The sequence below is a fragment of the Homo sapiens genome, chromosome 2, assembly GCF_000001405.40.
Source record: "Homo sapiens chromosome 2, GRCh38.p14 Primary Assembly".
Lineage (NCBI taxonomy): Eukaryota > Metazoa > Chordata > Mammalia > Primates > Hominidae > Homo > Homo sapiens.
In genome coordinates this window covers 15,587,310-15,610,669 of record NC_000002.12, presented here as the reverse complement: position 1 = coordinate 15,610,669, position 23,360 = coordinate 15,587,310, and the positions used below count along the sequence as shown (strand labels likewise).

The window sequence follows — 23,360 nt, the reverse complement described above, 5'->3', positions numbered from 1 at the left end:
TATACTTGTATGTATATAAAATGCCCTGAAGGAATATACAAAAATCAATTTAAAACGTTGCCTCCAGAAAGGATAACTAGAAATTGGGGAAAGGAGTGAAAGAAGACTCACTTTTCACAGTACCCTTTTGTGTTTGAATGTTTCTCATTTCAATGACTGGCCAACTGGCACTGGGACACATGGATATGCACATGCAAAAGACTGAAGTTAAAACCCTTTCTCATGCCATACACAGAAATTAACTCTAAATGTATCACAGACCTAAATGTAGAACCTAAACATAAAACTCAGAAGACAACACAAATAAAATTTTCATGACCTTGGGTTAGGCATAGTCTATCTTAACTACAACATCAAAACACCATGACAAAAGAGAAAAACAGATAAATTGGATTTCATCAAAATTAAGACTTCCAAAGGACAGTATCAGGAGAGTAAAGGCCAGATGCAGTAGCTCACACCTATAATCCAGCACTTTCGGAGGCGGAGACACAAGGATTGCTTGAGGCCAGGAGTTCGAGACCAGCCTGCACAACATAGCAAGACCATGTCTCCACAAAAAATAAAATTAGCCAAGCACTGTGGCACTTGCTTGCAGTCCCAGCTACTCTGGAGGCTTAGGTGGGAGGATTGCTTGAGCCCTAGAGTTTGAGACTGCAGTGAGCTATGAGGCACCACTGTACTCCAGCCTAGGTGACAGAGTGAGACCTCATCTCAAAAATAAAACCAAAACCAAAAAGAATCACCTGGAGGAGCTGCTTTTCTTAAAAAACAAACAAATAAAAAAAGATTCTAATTCCTATTCTCTGGAAATTCTGATTCAGTATATCCAGGGGAGGGAACCAATACATTTTATATTTTTAAATGAGGTCCTCAAGTTCCTAGGTTTGGACTATTGTCCTAAACTATCATTTTTTTTTCCAACAATACTTTTACTTTTATCCACATTTATAATCAGATATATTTATCCCTATAAACTTGGCAGAAGGTAAACACACATACACATGATAATTGATGCTTATACGCAAAGCACTGTAGGGTTGAAGAATATAAAAGAACCACCCCTGCACTAAGGAATGTAAAACTGAGTTAGATAAAAGCTTTGCATATTCAAAGCAAGAAACTTAAAGCAAGTATAGCTCTAAAAAGGAAATAAAAATTAAGAAAATTAAAAAGTAAGGAAAAGTAACACATGACAGTATGTAAGGATCAGGGAAAGGCATGTACAGTCAGTGTATCAGAGGAGGGGCAGATGGCTGGGCTGGGACAGCCAGCTTAGCTTCATTCAAAGATCATGACTTCAGCTGGGTTTTAAGAAAGAAAATGTCCATTTGTACCGAATACCAAACAAGTGGCCCATGACTTTACCATCTTAACCAATAAATTGATTTTATTATTCATCTTCCCCTCTAACTTTTGTCTATAATCATGTTCATTTTTATACATAATCACAGCACAAAAATCAATTCACACTAGCATTTTACATTCTTCCCAAATCCTTTTATAAAGACGTCCCTGAGTTTCTTACACTAAGCAGATGCCCTGGTTACATGGTATGCTCAAGGCATTTATTGTATTTGTTTTGTTTCTCTCCCCTCCACACTATCCCCACACTTTCACACTTAATTCTGTGAAAGGAAGATTAATTTTCATTGTTGAAGCCCTGGCTCCCAGCCTAAAACTTCACATATGGAAGGTAGATGAACATTTGCTGAATAAGGAACATGCATCAATCTTCAAAACAAAATTAGTAATTATTTTACATAATTTATCCCTAAATAAGTTTGTTCAACCTGTAAATAAGATCAATATTAAAAAGACAGGCCTGCCTGAAACAGTGGCATGTGCCTGTATTCTCAGCTACTCGGGAGGCTGAGGCAAGAGAGAGAATTCCTTGAGTCTAGGAGTTCAAGGCTACAGTGTAGGAAGACTGAACCTGTGAACAGCCACTTACTTCAGCCTGGGCAACATAGCGAGACTTCATAAAAAAAAAAAAAAAAAAAAAACCTAAAAAAAAACACAGGCTTTTGTGATGTCAAAATATTCAAAGCTTCTGAAATTTGATAGTGGTGACAGTTACACACCTTGTGAATATACTAAAAACCAATGAACCAAGAAACACTTGCTTTTTTTTTTTTTTTTGAGACGGAGTCTTACTCTGTTGCCCAGGCTGGAGTGCAATGGCGCAATCTTGGCCTCAATGCAACCTCCACCTCCTGGGTTCAAGCAATTCTCATGCCTTGGCCTCCCGAGTAGCTGGGATTACAGGTCTCTGCCACGAAGCCCAGCTAATTTTTGTATTTTAGTAGAGATGGGGTTTCACCGTGTTGGCTGGGCTGGTCTTGAACTCCTGACCTCAGGTGACCGCCCACCTCGGCCCCCCAAAGTACTGGGAATACAGGCGTGAGTCACCACACCTGGCTGAATTGTGCACTTTCAAATAATGAGTTTTATGGTGTGTGAATGTTTCAAGTTTAAAAAGTAATTAAAGACAAAATTAACAAAAATCAAGTGTCAAATTGACTAACAGAGTGTATTACTTATATGGTATAGCCTTCTTCAAAGTCAAAGGGATTGCTACTGAGCAAGGTCACTTTAATTTATGGTATCCTTCCAATGGTGGAAAGAGTCTTATAACTAGACAGTGACCAATCTGAATGTCCAAATGGAAGAAAGCCACCACCGTGATGCAGTCTAGAATAAACCTCGCCAAGTTTACTAACATGCTAGAAATAGAGTGGCACATTTTCTATAGAGATTTAGGGAAGAAATAAATTTAACAGTGAATGAAATGCTCTCTTCAAAAAATTGTTAGGGCCAGGCACAGTGGCTCATGCCTGTAATTCCAGCACTCTGGGAGGCTGAAGCAGGAGGATCATTTGCACCCAGGAGTTTGAGACTAGCCTAAGCAACATAGTGAAACCCTATCTCTACTAAGGTGGCATGTGCCTGCAGTCCCAACTACTCAAGTGGGAGGACTGCTTGAGTCCAGGAGGTCAAGGTTGCAGTGAGCTACAATCATATCACTACACTCCAGCCTGGGCGACAGATTGAGATCCCGGTCTCAGAAAAAAAACCAAAAATTAGATTTTTACTCCAATGCTGTTTGACTAACCATGACTTTTCATGTAAGAGACACAGGAAAAAAAAAATCTCAATTTTAAAAAAATCATACTTACCATTTAGCAAACAAACAGGAGTTGTATATGGAAATTATTAAAGTATATTTACATACTCACACACGTGTATTATGTATACACACTGAATTTCTACTTCATTTTTCTCTACCTTATTCTTCTTCCAAAAAACTTCAAACCAAAAGACAATAAGCATTTCAGCACAAAAGGAAGATTTACCTTAATTTAGGATTATCAATGTATTTCTTAAACTGCTTGATGTTGTTCAAAGTTTGTTCAGCTAACTCCCGGGAAGGTTCAACAATGAGAGCTTTCGGAGCATTGGGGAGAAACTTTGTTTGTGTCACCTGTGCATTACCTTAGGGAATAAAAAAGATGAGAACACATTCAAAGCACACTTTATAATACTGTTACTTATAAAACATTAGGACAAATATTCTAATATCAACATTTTACATAATAATTGTCAAAAAGTAGAGAAGACAGTCAAACAGAATAAACCTTAGATTTCTAAAACAAAGGCTACTTTAAATTAAAACTATTTGGGCTGGTGGGGTGACTGACACCTGCAATCCTAGCACTTTGGGCGGCCCAAGGTGGGACGATCACTTGAGTCCAGGTATTCAAGGCTGCAGTGAGCTATGATGGCGCCACTGCACTCCAGCAGCCTGGGTGACACAGTGAGATCCCCTCTCTTAAAACAACAATAAAAATCTACTTGGAATAATTCTAATTGATTGATATGTCTACAAAAATGACTCACTTGTTTTGTGACAAACAAGTTATGAAATATACTTTAAATATTAGATATACAATGGATAAGAGTATAAACTTGGAAGTCAGACTGCTTAGATTTGAATTCAGTTCTACCACTTATTTGCTCTGTGACCTTGGGCAAATCACTTAAAGTCCCTATTCGTTAGGTTGTCTGTAAAATGGGAAAACTACTACCTTATAGGGTTGTTGTGAAGACTAAACCATGTAAAGCACTTAATGTGGTGCCCTGGCACTGAATAAGCACACATTCTATAAATATTAGATATCATTACCGTTATGATTGCGATCCCAAAATGCCTACACTGAAACCAAATACTTAAGAGTTTATGAATTAGGTTTTAAAAATGAATTTTACTGCTGTGTTAAAAAAAGATGTGTGACTAAACCAGCAAGGAAAGTATATGTAACTCACTATGAGACGCCTTACTTACTGGAGTTCTCATCAATTATTCTCACTATTCTAGAAATCCTTACCCTTGCAGGTATAATACCTGAGTGCTGTGATTTGACAATGTAACCATCCGGTGCCTTGGAAAGAGCAACAAAGCCATCTTTTGGTGGAAACTTAAATTCCTCTTCACCGAAGTTAAATTTCAGTTCAGCATTCTAGCATTGAATAAAACAGAAAATTAAAATTCCTACCCTAATTGAAAACCATCGTATACAAAATAATGAAGAGTAAGCAGCTTACAACCACAGCAAATTTTTTCTAACTAGATTCCTAATTACCTTCAAAACACAGGCAGGAAAGAGGGCTTGGTTTTTCATATGTGGTGGTATTTCAAATGCCAGACCAAGATCTTTTCCTTAAAAAACAAGAGAGAGAGAGAGATTAAAACAATCAGAAAAGACCTTCCTCATGCTGACAATGTCAAATCTACCAGCTTACCTGCATTCATGCCTCTCTCCTGTCACTATGGATAAACTGTGCTGCCTAAGGCCAGCTTCTTCATTTTTTTACTTTACTCCTGAAACTGTCACTTCTACCCCTCTACATTTTTCATTACTCCCTGTCTACAAGTTCATTTCCATTAGACATTTCAAAGCATATAAACATACTCTCACAGTAAAACACACAAGAAAACCTCCCTTGAACTCACCTCTCCCTCCATTTACCTTCCATTTTTCTCCTCCCTTTTGTAGTGAAACTCCGATTTCCATTTACACTGTATCCACTTTCTTTCATCTCATTCTCTATTGAACTGGCTCCTTATTAGGAGGCTCCCCACCCTCACCCCTTTGCTCCACCAAAACAGCTCTCTAATGCTTTCCACTTGTCAAATGCAGCAGTTAATGCACATTCTTCATCTTGCTAGACTAGACCCATCCGCAGCACTGAACAGTGATTGCTCCCTGATCCTTCAAACACTTCCTTCACCAGGACTGTAGGACCCATGCTTTCTTGGTTCTCCTCCTGGCCTTCCTCCTCATTCCCCTCTGCTGGATTCTCCTCAATTTGCTGACCCCTAACCACAGGAACCCAGGCCTCAGATCTCTTCTTCTCTTTAACTACCCTCAATCCCTAGGCAATCTCACCCCACCCTCCAATGTGTCTTCAACAAAGCAGCCAGAATGGTACTGTTAAACTAAAGACAGATGATGCCACCCCTCTGCTCAAAACCCTCATGGCTTTCCATTTCACTCAAAATAAAAACCAAAGTTTAGATCATGGCCCATATGGCTCTCCATGGCCTGGCCTCACCACCTCACTCATCTAACATTCTACCACCGTCCTTTATCCCCAGAGCACTCCAGATCTAGTGGCTTCCTCGCTGTGACTCAGACACCTCAAGCACGCTTCCATCTCAGGGCATCCACATTTACTATTCCCTTTGCAGAAATCTGCATGGCCTACCACCCAACTCATTTGGATCTCTACCTAAATGTCCCTTATCAAGCCTTTTGACTGCCCTACACAAAAGCACAAACCCCCAAACCGCTATGACTCTCCACTTCCTTCCCCTGCTTTATACCCTCCTTCACAGCACTTACTACCACCTAACATGGTATTATATGTCTGTCTTTCACCACTAGTGTGTAAGCCCCAAATGTCTATTCCATTTTCTTCTGTGCCTCCAGTACTTACCAGGGTACCTTACACATAGTCAATGCTCAATAAATATTAGTTCAAGTAAAGGCAGGGAGGGAGGGACGGGGATTTGAAAAACAGGGTGGGGGGATTTTTAAAAACCACAATTATTGAATATCATGTATCTTTTCACTACTAAGATCCATATAGAGCTTACCATTTTTGGAGAACTTGACATGTCCCTTATCTATATCCAGGTAACATCCAATGGTATCATGCATAGTGAATTCCTAGAACACCAGAAAGTCAAATGCTATTAATAGAAAGTAAATTCTTAAATAAAGTTAAAATATAGCTGCATCAAAAGTATGTGTTTCAAAATAATTATTTAAATCAAAAATGCCTATTAGAGCATATGACATATACAATAGTACAAGCATTTGACAGGCTTGTTAGAATCAACATATTTAGGCTCATTCACACTACTGTAGATTTCAGCTCACCAGACGAACTATATTTAGACTCATCATGATCAATAATAAGAAATGAGAATAACATGTATCAAAGCCAAAATCAAAATGAGGTGAAAAGAGAAGACAACGTAATGTATTTTGGAGGGGATGACAAATGGCATAAAAGAAAAATTATAACTACTACATATTTATCTAGCTTGACAATATTTCTTCACTAAAGTCCAAATCCAAACTTTCTGTGGAAAATATACAGAAAATCTGCTCATTTTGAGAATCATTTGTATACCCTCATTCTGTCATGAGTGATTAAGTATGCAAGAAAACTTACTTATGCTATGTTGAAGTCATAACATAATCGCTTACCTCTCCATAATTATCAAATTGTTTGTTATGGGATTTCTTTCCTGTTCCACCAAAGCCAAATCCAAACTTGTCAGTACCTAGATTTAAAAAATATTTTACTTTTCTGGTAAGAGAAAATATAAAATTAAAAGACCTCTAAAAGAAGTAATTTTATTCACATAGTATGTCCATTTCATAAACCCACAGGAAAACTATTCCCTAAGTTTCTGAATCCTGCAAAAAACTAAACAGTGCTTAGGCCACAGAGCGTGTGTGAGACTAGGGACACCAGTGATACTGCATCCCTCTCTGCTTTGTCCACTAAGAAATTCAGATGCAAGTTTACAATAACATGAAGCATCTATATGGTACTGTGTGGTACAGATTCACACACACTAACTTTACCCTGACTCCATTCATATTCTTATCCCTCATTTCATACTGCTATAATATCTGTACTTTTTGTAAGTTCCTTCAAATCCTTTTTGGAACAGGGTGGGGTACAGATAAATATTGTTTCCATGTCTTTAAAATAAAACCTTTTTATGGTTAAATTTATTATTTTGCTTCCCCAAATAATAAAATGTTATCCCCCAAATGTAAATCAATCAATTCAGTTATTTTAGAAACACTTACCTAGGTCCAAAGAGGCCTGCATGGTAGACCACCCGACCCTGCATAACCCTTGGTCATGACAGGATACTTCATAGTAGTGTTTCCCTACAAGGGTAAAATACATTGAGATTTATATAAATCACACACACGATTCATTTACCATGAAGTCATCTTCCCATTGTTTCTGAATTACACAGGTATGTACCAAATGAAGAATTATAGGTATATTTGTACCATCAAACACCTTCCCAGATCCTCGACTTAAAGCTATTTTTAAAAACTCATGGGCCAGGCATAGTGGCTCACGCCTGCAGGCAGCACTTTAGGAGGCTAAGGCAAGCAGATCACCTGAGGTTAGGAGTTCAAAACCAGCCTGGCCAACATGGTGAAACCCATCTCTACTAAAAGTACAAAAATTAGCCAGGCATGGTGGTGGGCGCCTGTAATCCCAGCTACTCGGGAAGCTGCGGTAGGAGAATTGCTTGAACCCGGGAGGTGGAGGTTGCAGTGAGCCGAGATGGCACCACTGCCCTCCAGCCCGGGCCCTCCAGCCCGGGCGACGTGCGAGACTCCATCTCAAAAACAAACAAACAACAACAAAAAAACCCTCACGTATTAATACCTTGCCTCAAAAGTTTATACAAGTGCAGATGCTGTTCAAATACCTTTCATTAATCCTTTAGTAGCTCTACACCCATGCCATTCCTTTACTTCTCTGCTTTGACAACAAAGACCATCTGACCCAATTGCTGGATTTGAGAAGAAAACACAGAAAAACACGTCAGTACAGGTTTTATAAATCATACATTCCCACCCCCTACCACCAAAAAAAATCATTCAGTCTCACTAACAAGATAATTCCTTCATTTGTTGCAATGTTCCAGAGACTGAGACTTACTGATTCCTGAGTGATAGTAGTATTTCCCAAGTGTAATTAACCATTTCATTCCCTGGGTGTCCTTGGCTATGTTGGGGGCTATTTTCTATGCTGCCATCTGTTAACTAAGGTAAGATTTTACAGCAACAAGTCTAGAAAGGATTCAACACAGCTCTTAACCTGACTTGCACTAATAGTAGTTGCACCATCAATACAAATGTGTTTAGATAACTATTCTCTGGAGCCCTTTAAAGAAACGTACTCAAGGATGATGCACAACTCGCTCATCAATATTCGTCCTGATTTTATACTTAAATTAGAGCTTGAGTGACTATATAACTAAAAGATAACAGAACTGTCTCTAGCTTGTTCCTCAATCCATGGAAGAAACCATATGGGAAACTAGGAGAAAGCATGAATAAATAAGCATGTATTTGTTACTTGCTAATATTATAAGGGCTCTAAAAGATGAGGTATATTCTATACTATACATCATGATCAGTCTCAGTGATGTCCACATACTAAATGGTTTTAAGTAAAGATTCAGCTTTTTGTCTGTACTGGAAAAAAACTATAATTTCTGTCCTGGTTCATCTTTCCAACTCGTATTCTGTACTTGAAAGTAGAACAAACTGTTAAGCACCTCAACACACATCTTCCTACACTTTTCAGAAATTTAATTATTCAAAGTATGAATTCTTACCCATATGGGTACTGAATTATGTAGAACTGAACTTTTAAAAAGTTATCTAGGAGCTTCCAGGATAGCTGAACACATGACGGTTCCTGAAGGGTGTCATGCCCAGGGAGGGGAGAAGCTCCAAGCCCCTTCCTGTACTTCAGCTTATGCATCTCTTCATCAGTATTCTTTATAATAGCTTTAAAAATAAACCAGTAAACATATTTCCCCGAGTTCTGTGAGCCACTCTAGCAAATTAATTGAACCTGAGGAAGGAATTGTAGGAACCCTGATTTATAGCCAATAGGTTAGAAGCATAAGCCACAACCTGGGCATCAGATGTGGGGGACAGTCTTGTGTGATTGAACCCTCAACCTGTGGGATATGATGCTATCTTCATGAAGACGGTGTCAGAATTGAATTGAATTACAGTTCTCAGCTGGAAGAAACCATAATGGGAAAGTATGGGAAACCAAGAATAAACAAACATGTGTCTGTTACTTACTCCATCAGTTCTCAACTCGTAAATGCTGAGAACTGACTGCTTGCTTGACTTGTGGGAAAAAACCCCACACATCTGCTGTCAGAAGCATGCTGAGAGAGTATACAGGGAAAATGGAGTTTATTTATTTCTCTATATTCTCAGAATTGGTGTCAGAATCAGGGTTTGCTAGAACTGCCTTGGCTCACAGAACTGTGGTTTGGAAAGAAAAAGGATAAAAGGGTAGGGGATGAGGAACTTTAGGTTTCTTGGTGGCCACAAGATCACCTATGGTACAGAGCCACAGCTGTGCTACACACAGTTACTAATGATAAAAATTATCAGTGGAATTTAGAGTTGGATCCAACTCCTGGGGAGCTGGTTCACTGGATGCATAAGAAAACACAAATAAGAACCCGTGAGGTGGAGCTTGCAGTGAGCTGAGATCGCGCCACTGCACTCCAGCCTGGGCAACAGAGCGAGACTCTGTCTCAAAAAAAAAAAAAAAAAAAAAAAAAAGAAAATGCAAATAAGAAAAAAAGTATACAGTCCTTTGGTTACTATTATCTGTAATAGCTAAAATGAAGTAAAAGAGTGCTGGGTCAGCCCTTGATGTGAGACTACATTCAGATTTCAGTCCATCTGAGCTTTGGTCACCAGCTTCAAAGCTGACCCCCAAGGGAAAAATTATGCAGGGCCAACAAAAAGTACTTCTAAGACCTGTGGTCTCCAAGAAGGCAGTAAATGTGGGGAAGAGCAAAACCAAAACACTCTGAAACTGGAGGGTATAGTGTGAAGGAACTGTTACATTTTGTAGATCAGTATCATAAGCTTCCTGAGGAGTCTTTACTAAAATGCATTCTGAGAGTAACTGCTTTAGGAAAGTATCCTTAGTTTTAAATGCAGCAGAATAGAAGGGCATATTTGAGTTGATGCAGGTCTCGCTGCTCACTATGGAACAATCACAGATGGCTCTATGCATGATGGAGGTTATTCCCAAGTGAACAGCCAGCCTGGTGAATTGGATAAAAGCCACTGTAAGGTCTGTTAACCCCAAGAAGGAGGACTGTCCAACTCCACCTATAAATACTTTCTTTTATAATTTCTGCATTTTCTATTTGGGTTAGGAAAGTTTTGCCACTGCTAAATTATACATGTAGTTTTCTGTATTCAAATTCATACATATATATTTAAGTCCTAAATACACATGGAATTTATTTCTAATTATGATATGAGATAGAAGTCAATTTTATATTGCTCCAGATGGATCGTGTCAGCACCCTTTACTTAATAAACCATCCTTTTGTCTCACTGAAATGAAATATAATTATTTTTCCTGCATATAACTTCTCATATGTGCTGAGATTTATTTCCATTATGTTCCACTGTCTATTCCTATGTCAGTTCTATACTGTTTAATGATAGTGACTAAATTCTAATATCTGGTAAATTAAATCTTAATCTTATTTACTTGGTGTTCTCATGTATTATTTTTTAAAGTTTCTGAATTACAAATGAGCTGATGGAAAGTCTATCCACTTACCAAAAGCAGATCCTCTGTCATATGGGTTCATCTGCCATTTGTTCAGCACTAAACAAATTAAAATAAGAAAAGTTACCCACAGATATATAAAATTTAAAATGCTTGGCCGGGTGCGGTGACTCACGACTGTAATCTCAGCACTTTGGGAAGCTGACGTGGGTGGTTCACTTGAGGTCAGGAGTTCAAGACCAGCCTGGCCAACGTGGTGAAACCTCATCTCTACTAAAAAAAAAAATACAAAAATTAGCCAGGCATGGTGGCGTGTGACTGTAATCCCAGCTACTCGGGAGGCTGAGGCAGGAGAATCGCTTGAGCCCAGGAGGTGGAGACTGCAGTGAGCAGAGATCGAGCCACTGCACTCCAGCCTGGGCGACAGAGCGAGACTCCATCTCAAAAATAAATAAATAAATAAATAAATAAAATAAAACGCTCTATTAAAAAAAAAAACAAGTATTTTATGTACCTTAATTCCTCTAGATTCAATATGGTTTTATATATTATTTAGAATACACAAGTAAAACTTGTTTTTATTAAAAGCAAAAACGCAACTGAAAAATCAGACATGTTGAAGATAATCATCACTGGTCTATCTGGACCTAAAACCTTTTCTCCTCACTTGCTTGCTTCAGTGTGCTCTCTATCAGATGATACTGATCTCTGTCCTTACTCCTAGGTCACTATTAAAAAGAAGTTTAAGTAACCAAACAAGTTGACTTCAATTATAAAGGAAATAACTGATCAACATTTCAGAGTCTAATTATCTTGTAACTATCAAAAAAAAAGCAAGTCCTTTATCTTAATTCAATACCACATTCAAAAGTCACACATTTTTTTCATCCGCCTTTTTATAAGATTGGCATTTTCCTTTTCTGACACATCTTGATAGTTTGTTAAGATGTATGTATACGTATAAACTAAGAATTGTAATAAAGAGAGCTCTACGTGCTTTCTAGACCAACTTTCCACTCACGGTAGAAATCCTTTCTAGATTATTTCTGGTCAAAAGATATCCATCATCAGCTTAAACACTTTGAACATTGTAGAAATAACTTTGAGGTTTTCCCTTGCATTGTGGCTCAATGTAGCTATTAGGAAGTACTTTAAGTTAAACAGAAATCTTCATCTAAACTATTTCTAATTGGTCCTGGTCCTACTTTCTAGAATAATTACTTTCTCTCTAGTTCTCTTCAATAATTTAACAATTATCCCATCTCCATTTTTACTTCTTCTCCATGTTTAAATTTCTACTTTCTTTATTCCTCATAGGATGTGACTTTCAGAACCATTATCACTATGGTTATTCTCCTTTAGGAGTGTTTTCTTTTACCACCATTTCTCATAAATGACGGCACAGTTGTTACAAATTCTGAAACTATTTTAGAATAGGCCAATAGTGTAAATAGTTACATCAATTATCTATCTCTAATTTACATGAGTTCACAGATTCTACATTATACATTTTATGTATAACATTACTTTCAAACAACTGAAAAGAATATGTTAATATGACAGGTTCACTGGTCTTCAACTTGCTGTTTTGTAACAATCCTGTTTTGTATAATGAAACAAGAGTGACTTAAAATGTGGAAAAAATATTATTAAAATATAACAAAACAAAAGATTAATTAAGATAGAATGAAATTTAGAAAACATTCAACAGAAGCAACACAATTTAAAGATGAAGAAACTGCGGTAAGATTGATTACGGTAGAGACAGTATCAGAAACCTAATAAAAAGACCAATTTCCATGTAGATAGGACTGCACATAAGAAACAACTTTAAAATTTATATTTTAACTTCCTAGGTGGTTCCCTTCTTATCTTAGAGGAAAAAAAATGCCTCTGTTCCCTGTAAGGCAATACTTCCCACCAGCATGGGTTTTTACTCCATAAATTATTTGTAAAATCCTTCCTTAATATTTTTGTAAAATGTACCTATTTTCCTTTAGCATTAAGCATAGAAAGTTATAAGGTTAAGAAAAACACTATAATATTGAAATGTAATCTCCAAAATGCTAGTGTTTTCTCAAAGGGAACACTATTAGTATTTTAGGAGGGACAACCTTGCAGTGTTTAGGCTCTCAACAACATTTAGCATCCCTGGTTTCCAGGGTTCCAGATCCCAATACCACCCCCCAGATACTGACAAGATTTTAAAAATGCATACCCAAATCTCACTTTCCTAACTGTCAGTGATGAGAACCAATGATTTATATAAAAGGAAATATCAATTTACAAAAATTACCTGAAGCACCAGTTTTAATTGTTGTTTTTCCTTTTTTGCCTTCCTGTTGGTCTTTCAGAGTTTCATAAACTATCTGGATAACTGGAATACTAAAAGCCTATCAAAGAAACAAAAGGTATCTATATTAGTATTCACATATTAACGACAATTTAATAACCAATATAAATGACAAAAGTTATGCACACACATCAACTAATCATACATATTCCAGATTGCTACTACAATTTCATTTACCCAAACCAAAAATACCCATCAGACAACACAGAGTGGACTGAATGAAGGAAATAGGACGCAGCTAACATCACAAAAAGATAGAACAATGGAGACTGGTAGAATGAACCTACACTAAAGAGGAAAAATACCATCCAGTCCGACAAATTATTTCTCTAGTCCAGGCCAGTAGGAGATCAACTTCTGTATGTAACCTTTTTATTTTAAGAGTCATCATATTAAAATTCAGAAGTGAGTATAAACACTAAAGCTATTGTAACTCTCTAACGCCCATTTAAAACTATGTTCTTAAGGTCATACTTTTTTTAGCTCTTCATAATTAGCTGGCAACAAAAATATCATTTTCAGTAGCAAGTAATTAATTCCTTACCTTTTGGAGGTTGCTATTTTATTAAATATTTCAAAGTAAAAACTACTGTTCAAAGTTATTTTAAAATTCAACTTTTAGAGAGAAAGTAAATATAATTTATTACTTACACCAGTTTTGCCACTTCCTGTTTCTGCAGCCTGAATGAGGGGAAAAAAGTTGATTTTACAGATTAAGTTGTCTATTAAAGAAATCAAACTAACACCATAGTATGTAGAAATCTTTAACATTTGACTGGCTACCTTTATTTTCACAGTGCCTCCAGATATCCAGGGTTCCTCTGTCAACTCCAACTACAGCCCATCTTGTTACCTTTCCCATACCCTTAAGAATCTTCTCTTCCCTTTCCCATTGCTACCATTCAAACGGAAGCTCTCATCATTCTAATCTAGATTATTATAAAAGTATCCGAACAACATCTAATCCCAGAGCTATACTACAATCTGCTACTCAGATTAGTCTTCATAGAAGACTAACACTCAAATTCTTTAACAAGACACTTGAGAAAGAGCCCAAATAATCTGACCCATTATCTCTCTACAATTTTATTTCAAGTTTATCCCCCCTCAGACACATATTTTATGCTACCAACCAACTGAAATATTCCAGGGTCATATCCTACATTCTACTATTCGCTGTTTTGCTGATATTCTCTCTACCTAAAAAGCATTTCTCTTTTATCTTCCCTTGCGAAAAATCTGGCCCACACTTATAACTCCAGCACTTTGGGAGGCCAAGACAGGAGGATCGCTTGAGGCTGGGAGTTGGAGACCAGACTGGGCAGCATAGTGAGACCCTGTCTCTACAAAAAAATACAATAAATTAGCTGGATGTGGTGGTGTGTACCTGTAGTCCCACCTAATTGGGAGGCTGAAATAGGAAGATTGCTTGAACCGAGGAGTTTGAGGCTGCAGTGAACTATAAACACACCACTGCACTCCAGCTTGGGCAACAGAGCTTGGCCTTTTCCAAAAAACAAAAACAAAAAAAAAGAAATCTACTTCCTTTAAGCAGTCCCTATGATCCTTCAAGCAAAAGGACAACTGGATTCCCACTTGAATTCTATACTACTCTGCATCTCTTACGAAGAAGCCACATTCTCTCTGATACGAGATTCATTCTTATACATGTCTTATTGCCCTAGTGGGTTTAAGCTTCTCAGGAGTAAATACTTACCTGTTTGAAGCTTTTACCTAATAGTCTGAATACAGTATATGTATCATAAATGTTTGTGAATAAAGGTAAAGTAGCATTTGTAAGCCTATGCAATTCTTAGAGTGTGTCCCCAGCTACCAATCACCTCACCAAATTTAAACTTACCATAAGTACATCACCTCCTCCTAAGATCAATGGGATAGATTCAGCCTGGATATCAGTTGGGAGGCTAAAAGAATCATATTTGAAGAATTTTAGTTACTGGGGAAAAAAATCGCCTAAGCAAATTAAGTCACGTTAATTTGCCTAAAAGAAAATTTTACGTGGTAAATACGATCCATCTTATTCCACTAGAAATATGTCAAGGTTAAAAAAAGGAAACTTTCCATAATTTAGAAAATCACAAAAAAAACCTGATTTTCACTTACCCAACTAGACACAAAAATATTTGATAAAATCACTAACAACTGTTTAAATTATAAAACATCCTCTCCCAGGTACATTTAGGCTTTATGTACTTACAGCCAATCCATCTCTTCCACAGCTTGTGCAATCTCAGGCATTACACCCATCTCTGAAAGTAAAAATTAATTTTAAAAACCACATAAACTGAAATGATAAATTGCATTGCTCTCAAAATTACTATTCATAAAACAGGGTAAAGATTTTGAAGGATAGCTCAGTTACATCAAATCTACTGAGCGTGGCACTGTTGAAAGAGCACAAGTTCTGGAGAAAGACCTGAGTTCAAATCTAAGTTCTCACTTATTAGCAAGTGACCTTAGGCAAAGCTATAAATCTGTTTTCTCCACACAAAATGGGGCTGATATTGCCTACCTTGCAGGGCTATATGAAGACCAGAGATAATCATGTAATGCAACTGGAGCATGGTTGTCACCTAATAAACTGTAGCCACTACAGTGCCTGTTTACCTCTCATGACTCGTGAAAAGTCTGCCAAGAATAGACAGGGTTGTTGCATTTAGAGACAATGTGGCAGTTATGTGCCTTGGCTATTCTAGGACCATGTGAATACCCTCAGCAATTGGAAAAAAATGAATAGACAAGTGGCGAGCACCCACATTTATTGGCAGCCATAATCAAAATTCTGAATAACTGAAGAGGGAGGGGTCAGTGGTGAAAACGTGGGCACCTGGAAATGTCAGCTGAAGAACTGCTGAGTTCTTAACTGTATACATATCTCAATAATTCTACTTCAAGGCCCATCCTAAATGAATAGAGATGAGTTGCTCCTAACCGGGTTTTGTCATTTTATCATTTCTCATATGAACTGTAGAGGGTAATTATATATGGAGTAGTTAGTTGGATTACTTAAACTTTCCTTCCAAAAGACAAGTGATTTTTATTTTAAGTCTGTATTTATAAAATATAGCTTTATCATAAAAATATATATTCCTATAAAAAAAAGAACAAGAATCAAACATTCCCAAGCCCCAGAAATAACCAATTCTGAAATTCTGTATTTCTTGCCATTGTGAAAAGGCATAAAGCAAACATACAAACTGAAAATATTCTTCATAAAATTATGTAGCTTTTTCTTTGCATCAGATGAGAAGGATCATCATTTTCAAAGAAGGCTCTCCTAACTCTTTTTCTTTTTTTTCTTTTCTTTTGTTTTTTTTTGAGACAGTCTCACTCTGTCACCCAGGCTGGAGTGTAGGGGCATGATCTCCACTCACTGCAAACTCCGTCTCCCAGATTCAAGCAATTCTCCTGCCTCAGCCTCCCGAGGAGCTGGGGCTACAGGCGCATGCCACCACGCCCGCTAATTTTTTTTCATATTTTTAGTAGAGACGGGGTTTCACTGTGTTAGCCAGGATGGTCTCAATCTCCTGACCTCGTGATCTGCCCACCTTGGACTCCCAAAGTGCTGGGATTACAGGCATAAGCCACTGCACCTGGCGACTTTCCTAGCTCTTAATCTCAGGAAAAAAAAAAGCCACAGATAAACTAATGAAGATCTAAAGTTGAATATCCAGGCAGACCTTCCTAAGAATTAACCTGTATTACAGTCTATGTTCTCTCTCCTAAAATGCAAACTGCTTGAAACAAAGGAGTGGTGTGTTCTTACTGCATACGGAATACTGCAAGCTGAAGCTCTTTGCAAAATTGTTATACAAGAAACAACATATCATTTTCAGTAAATTCCAGACAATCTCTTGTACCATTCTGGTCATGTTCCCTGCAAGTTTTCTTTGAAAGCGGACCTTAAGTATAATACTTTTAACAGTTAAGGAAAAATTAGAAACATTCGTGAAATTCCAGTTTTGTCTTATTTCATATCACAGACTTTTTCCAGTCCTTTACCTCTAACATTCATGAAATTTGTGTATGACTCCCAAAGATGTGAACCTATAAAATGACTACCTAGAACTATCCTACAGACCTTGGCTCTAAAATCGTTTTAGGAGAATGTTGGGAAAAGAAAAACAGCAACAACTCTGAGCAGTTTCCAATTGAATCCTATTAGAAGATGTAACTGAAACAGTCAGAAATCTTACATGACTGTTGCACTTTGGGAAGCCGAGGTGAGCGGATCACCTGAGGTCAGGAGTTCGAGACCAGCCTGGCCAACATGGTGAAACCCCCGTCTCTACTAATAATACAAAAATGAGCAGGGCATGGTGGTAGGCGCCTGTAATCCCAGCTACTCAGGAGGCTGAGGCAGGAGAATTGCTTGAACCTGGGAGGTGGAGGCTGCAGTGAGCCAAGATCACACCATTGCACTCCAGCTGGGGCGACAGAAGGAGACTACATCCCCCCACCCCCCCATTCTCCCCCCCAAAAAAGAAAAAAAATATCTTACATGACTGGAGATATGGAATTCCTAATATTCTTACAGAAGAAAACTAAAAAATATAAAATACTACATCTGAAGTCATCTTAAAAAGTTAATAACATTAAAGGACATTAGGCCTAACGTGATACATTTATATAGCAATAAACGTTACATAAGTGCTACATAAATGTATCACGTTTAGCGCATTTAAGGCTGATTACAGCTTCCTAAAACTGGATGCCTAACAGGAGGATGATAAAGCAAGAGGCGAAAATATCAACTGTAGGGTTCGATAAGCCATATCAAATCATATTTGGAATAAAGGAGGGTAGCAGACGGCAAATAAATATGAATTTTCCAAACTTATGTTGGACTGGTGCGTACGTTAATGAAAATGCTTTCCCTTTAGCTTCAACACTGAACATTAATGTTGATATAACAACGTTTAAGAACAAATAAAGATCAGGTTTATGCCTGGGACGTTTTGGAAGGGCCTGAAAAAACTGGACAGAGGCAGGATCGTCATTTTTCCCCAATGACTCCTCCCCACGCCGTCTCGCCTCTCTGCCTGGCCAAGCCCAGATGAGCCGCGGGCAGAAAAGGGTTCCCAAAGGGTCACTGCCACGTTAAGAGGCAGGAGGCCCAGGCGTCTGGGAGCCGCCAGAGCAACGCCGCCGCCTAGATTTTGCAGCCGAAGGTGCACTGGCAGGAAAGCCAAGTGGAGACTGGTAGAAGGGAAAGGGCAGGGGGAGGGACGTTCCGGCCCGCTCCTGGGAAGAATCGTCCTCCGAACCCGAGCCGCGGCCGCCCCTGATCCCGCAACGCGGGTCCATCAGGGACTGCAGCGGACAGCGCCCTTCTGTCTCCCTGACCCCTGTCCGCTCCCGCCCCTTTAGCTCTCCGCGGGCGGCCCCAGGGCTGAGGCGTGCAACAAGCCGCCCCACCACCCCCAGAGTTTCCACAAACGCACCGGAGAAGGCCGCCATCTTCACCCCGTCCTCCGCGGCTTCGCCTGCTCGCTCCCTCCCTCCCGACTGACACGGCGTGGCAGTGGCGGCGCGCGCTTCCGGCCCCTGGTCTTCGGCGTTCGGAGTCCGGGCAGGGACTCAGCCCCGGGAGAACGGTTCCGATGGAAGGAAAGGCCCGCGCCGGCCCCGCCTTATGCGCCTGCCGCTGAGCGGACCTCTGGGACCTAGGGCTTCTGGACGCCGCCTTCGTTCTGGGCACCATGTGTTCGGAGCACACCACGCGGTATCAGGGTCACAGCTACAGAGAAGGAAGCAGATGTTTGGTGATTAGGGTCATCCAGTGGGCTCAGGCTGACACCACACCGTGCCCTCCCCACTCAGTCCCCCAGCTTTCCAAAGGTGAGCAGGGCCTTGGTGTGTGAATGACCCGGAGAGATGGACTGGATTCATTGCCCTGAGCACCAATGCCAGTGAGTGCCTGGCAGCCAGTAGGTATTTGTTACATTTTTTTTTTAAACTAAGTAATGATTTAGGTCTCCCTCCCTTCACCCATGTTTGATGTCGCTTTTATAATTTCGGGTTTGACTTCCATGCAATTTTAACTCCTTTCTCTTTGCAGAGAGATGGGGAAAGTAAATGAGGAATCCTCCCAACCAGACACTCACTCTGTCAGGAAGGTATTAGAATCTTTAGATGAGGACTCTAAAATTCGGGAAAGTTAAGTCACTTATCTAAAGACACATATCTACCGAATGGCAGCGTGGGATCTGAGCCACATCTGCGCAATGCGAGGGCGCGTGCTGTGCTATCTGTAGCCTGCCCCAGAGTGTCATGGAGAAAAGTGGAACCCTCAGGCAAGATAGAATAGGGTTGCAGCGGCCGGGCGCGGGGGCTCACGCCTGTAATCCCAGCACTTTGGGAGGCCGAGGCAGGCGGATCACGAAGTCAGGAGGTCGAGACCATCCTAGCTAACACGGTGAAACCCCTTCTCTACAAAAAATACACACACACACACACACACACACACACACAGAAGAAGCCGGGTGTGGTGGTGCATGCCTGTAGTCCCAGCTACTCGGGAGGCTGAGGCAGGAGAATCGCTTGAACCCAGGAGGCGAAGGTTGCAGTGAGCCGAGATCGCGCCACTGCACTCCAGCCTGGGTGACCGAGCGAGACTCCGTCTCAAAAAAAAAAAAAAAGAAAAAAGAATAGGGTTGCAGCTACTCCGGAGGCTGAGGCATGAGAATCACATGAACCTGGGAGGCGAAAGCTGCAGTGAGCTGAGATCGTGCCACTACACTCTAGCCTGGGCGACAGAGGGAGAGTCTGTCTCAAAAAAATAAAAAATAAAAAAGATAGAATAGGGTTAGAAGTACAGAGTTGGGAACCATATTCTGAGTTTGGATTCTAGGTCTGCCACTTGCTTGCTGTGTGACCTTGAACAAGTCATGAAGCTTCTTTGGGCTTCAGTTTACTTACCTGTGAAATAGGGATGAACAATAGTACCTTTCTCATATGATAGTTATGAGGATCAAATAAAATACATAAAGCATCTAAAATAGTGCATAGCACATGGTGACAATATAACTAGCTCTGTTATTACTATTACATGTAACAGGATTCACCTGAAGCTCCAAAGGCCCAGGACAATACACTCAGCCCTGCAGCTTTACACTTCCAGGGGGCACTATTCACATTATATTCTCTATTCTTGTTATATTTTGTCTAAATAAGACCCTGAGAGTTATGCAGTGTACCAGTTTTGAATGGATACCAAGTACCCCCACATTCCAAGGAGAGATACAAGACCCATATTATGCAGGACTTGCCAAAGGGAAATCTGAAATCTAATTTTTGTGCCTTTTGCCAATGCCCACCTTTAAAGTGTGAAAAATCGGCTGGGCATGATGGCTCATGTCTATAATCCCAACACCTTGGGAGGCTGAGGCAAGGGGATCACTTGAGCCCAGAAGTTCAAGACCAGCCTGGGCAACATAATGAGACCCCCATCTCCAAAAAAAATTAAAAAATAGTTGGGCATGGTGCACACCTGTAGTCTCAGCTACTTGGGAGGCTGAGGTGGGAGGATCTCTTGAGCCTAGGAGGTGGAGGCTGCAGTGAGCTATGATGGTGTCACTGTACTCCAGCCTGGGTGGCAGAGCAAGACCCTGTCTCAAGGAAGAGATAAAGTATGAAAAAATTAAAGATGCAAATTAAGAGAAAAGATTTCTGTGAAAAGAATGCATTTCAGGGAAATACTCTGAGAACTTTTGATCTGAGAGTTTGGGAAGCGTAAGGACTGCTCTGAGAAGCCGTCCCTAGGAGGACCTGAGGTGGCAGGGCAGAAAAAGAGACAGAGAGAAGGAGAGAGAAGCCTGCTGCAGGAGTTAACTGTGGGGGAATCGTGTGACATTTTTTCCCCAAGGGATAAATAGATCTGTGGAGAGTGGACTGGAAGTTTTCTTCAAAGGGAATGTGCCCAAGAGACTTCCCGGAGGAGCTAAATGATTCAGCACACAGACCCCCCAAAGAACGCAGTGGCATCCTTACCTTCCAAACTGGAGAAGAGATATCTCTTGTCTCATGGGAGTTGCATGTGGAGGATGCCAGCAAGGAGAATCTCCAAGATACCACAAAAAGTTCCCTCTAAGAGAAACAATCAGCCTTGAGCATGTCTAAGCCAGAAAGCACCAGAATCAGATCACCATAAACCCAGCCAGATAAAGGTGTGTACCCACCCGCCACCCCATCCCCTAGACTTTATCCTTCCCAGGAGTCAGAAACAACAGCTAATGGGAGAGGCGAGTACAGAAAAGAGACTGACCCCATCCTCCATCCCACTGCAGGCTTCTGGCGTGGAATAGGCCAAGCAGGAAGAGGAGGAAGCCATGATGTTGGTTGAAGTTGTGAATTTCAATCACGATCCTGGACATGATAGTTTACAGAAACGAGGGTATAATTAGATGAAAGTAACCAGACAACTCTTCATTGTCTCAGAGTGACCAGAAAAGCTCTGGAAGATGCCAGAGACTTCATCTAGGTCAGGGAAAGAAATAACCCATAGAGATGATTTCAAGGTAACAGATAATGTTTTCTGTTTGTGCCTTATCAAGTTCAGCTCACTTAATATACTGCTTTAATAATTATAGATATTTGTATGTATGTGTTGCAGTGCCCTCAGTAATGCAAATTGGGATATGTGAATTGGGGTATGATTGGCTCCTCTCCTTGGCAGGTAGAATAACACCAGGCAGAGAAACAGCAGCCAGGCCCTTCACCAAACCAAAAGATAGAGGATGGGTGCCTTTCAGTCTGGTATTTTGCTGGTCTAGTCTCCCCAAGAATAGGTTGATTTAATGGTTGCCTACTAACTGGGAGATTCCTAGAAACCCTGGCCTGGTCCCAGAAACCAGGACAGACACCACCAGGTGGCACCAAACTGTAGCCAAACTGAGAAGAGATTGGACTGGACCCTAAAAACTCCCAGCGTAGGCTTTTGTTCATCTGTCTCCATTTATACAAATGGACGTGCGACATTTAAGGCGGGTGATGGAAGTCTTCAACAACTGGATTGTGGTGCTGGTTGCACAGCTCTGTGAATCATTGAATTGTACATTAGTGAATTTTATGGTATTTAAATTATACCTTAATAAAGCTGTTTAAAAAATTATAATTAAAAAACACATATGGCTGAGCGTGGTGTCTCATGCCTGTAATCCCAGCACTTTGGGAGACCGAGGTGGGTGGATTACCTGAGGTCAGGAGTTCAAGACCAGCCTGGCCAACATGGTGAAACCCTGTCTCTACTAAAAATACAAAAAATTAGCCGTGCTTGGTGGCGGGCGCCTGTAATCCCAGCTACTTGGGAGGCTGAGGCAGGAGAATCACTTGAACCCAGGAGGCGGAGGTTGAAGTGAGCCGAGATCATGCCACTGCACTCCAGCCTAGGCGACAGAGCAAGACTCTGTCTCAAACACACACACACACACCCCTCAGCCTGGGCTTGCCCCCAGTATTTTTTTTTTAACCTCAGAATAACCCCACATTTTCTGTAATTGGGTAGTTTGGGCCCCACTAATCATGTGATAGGGAAGTTTTACTATGTTATCCATGGGCCCAAGATATTATGCTATGTATTTTCAAGTAAGCTATATTATAATTATATCCCACTGTAGAGCAAATGGTTTTGCAACTACTAAGGCAGACCTGAAAAAAAATGCCTTCAGGTATCTGGGAAAGTGTAGAGAGGATGGGTCCTGGGAAGGCCTCTGTAGATGGACCACCCAAAAGCCATACACAGTTCCTAGGTTAGCTCATTTGTGCTGCTATAGCAAAATACCTGAGAATGGCTAATTTATAAGGAACAGAAATTATTTCTGCCAGTTCTGGAGGTTGGGAAGTCCAAGATTAAGGTGCCAGTAAGTTTATAGTCTGGTGAGGGTTTGGTTTCTGCTTTTAAGGTGGTGCCTTGAACACCATGTCCTCCAGCAGGGAGGAGCTCTATGTCCTTACATGGCAGGAGGTACAAGGGCAAGAGACCAAATGCTCCATGAAACTTCTTTTACAAGGGCTTCAATCCCATTCATGAGAGCAGAACCTTCATGGGCCAATCACCTCTTAAAGGCCCCCCTCTTAAAATTAC

At 40.1% G+C, this 23,360-nt stretch overlaps 1 protein-coding gene and 1 long non-coding RNA gene across 2 annotated transcripts in view, besides 1 other annotated feature; one reads left to right on the top strand and one right to left on the bottom strand.

Annotated features, from left to right (window-relative positions):
* DDX1 (DEAD-box helicase 1) overlaps nt 1-18,802 on the bottom strand; it is a 39,234-nt gene extending 20,432 nt beyond the window's left edge. The window contains exons 1-13 of the mRNA NM_004939.3: nt 18,721-18,802; nt 15,474-15,525; nt 15,117-15,180; nt 13,907-13,936; nt 13,199-13,295; nt 10,954-11,001; nt 8,039-8,122; nt 7,395-7,478; nt 6,780-6,856; nt 6,161-6,233; nt 4,644-4,720; nt 4,406-4,520; nt 3,357-3,495 (exon numbers count right to left, since the gene is read on the bottom strand). Coding sequence (NP_004930.1) covers nt 3,357-3,495; nt 4,406-4,520; nt 4,644-4,720; nt 6,161-6,233; nt 6,780-6,856; nt 7,395-7,478; nt 8,039-8,122; nt 10,954-11,001; nt 13,199-13,295; nt 13,907-13,936; nt 15,117-15,180; nt 15,474-15,525; nt 18,721-18,736 — 956 coding nt within the window. The 5' untranslated portion in view covers nt 18,737-18,802. The remainder of the gene's footprint in view (nt 1-3,356; nt 3,496-4,405; nt 4,521-4,643; nt 4,721-6,160; nt 6,234-6,779; nt 6,857-7,394; nt 7,479-8,038; nt 8,123-10,953; nt 11,002-13,198; nt 13,296-13,906; nt 13,937-15,116; nt 15,181-15,473; nt 15,526-18,720) is intronic.
* Nucleotides 18,704-18,763: an enhancer, noted in NCBI's record as "active region_15347". NCBI's record gives its function as "activates an Ori minimal core promoter by ATAC-STARR-seq in GM12878 lymphoblastoid cells {active_cell/tissue: GM12878}" and the evidence as "EXISTENCE:reporter gene assay evidence [ECO:0000049][PMID:35858748]".
* On the top strand, nt 18,901-22,401 carry LOC124905975 (uncharacterized). Its single transcript, XR_007086224.1, has 2 exons — nt 18,901-19,210; nt 19,338-22,401. It is a non-coding gene; the product is annotated as an uncharacterized LOC124905975 (long non-coding RNA).
* Nucleotides 22,402-23,360: the final 959 nt, after the last annotated feature.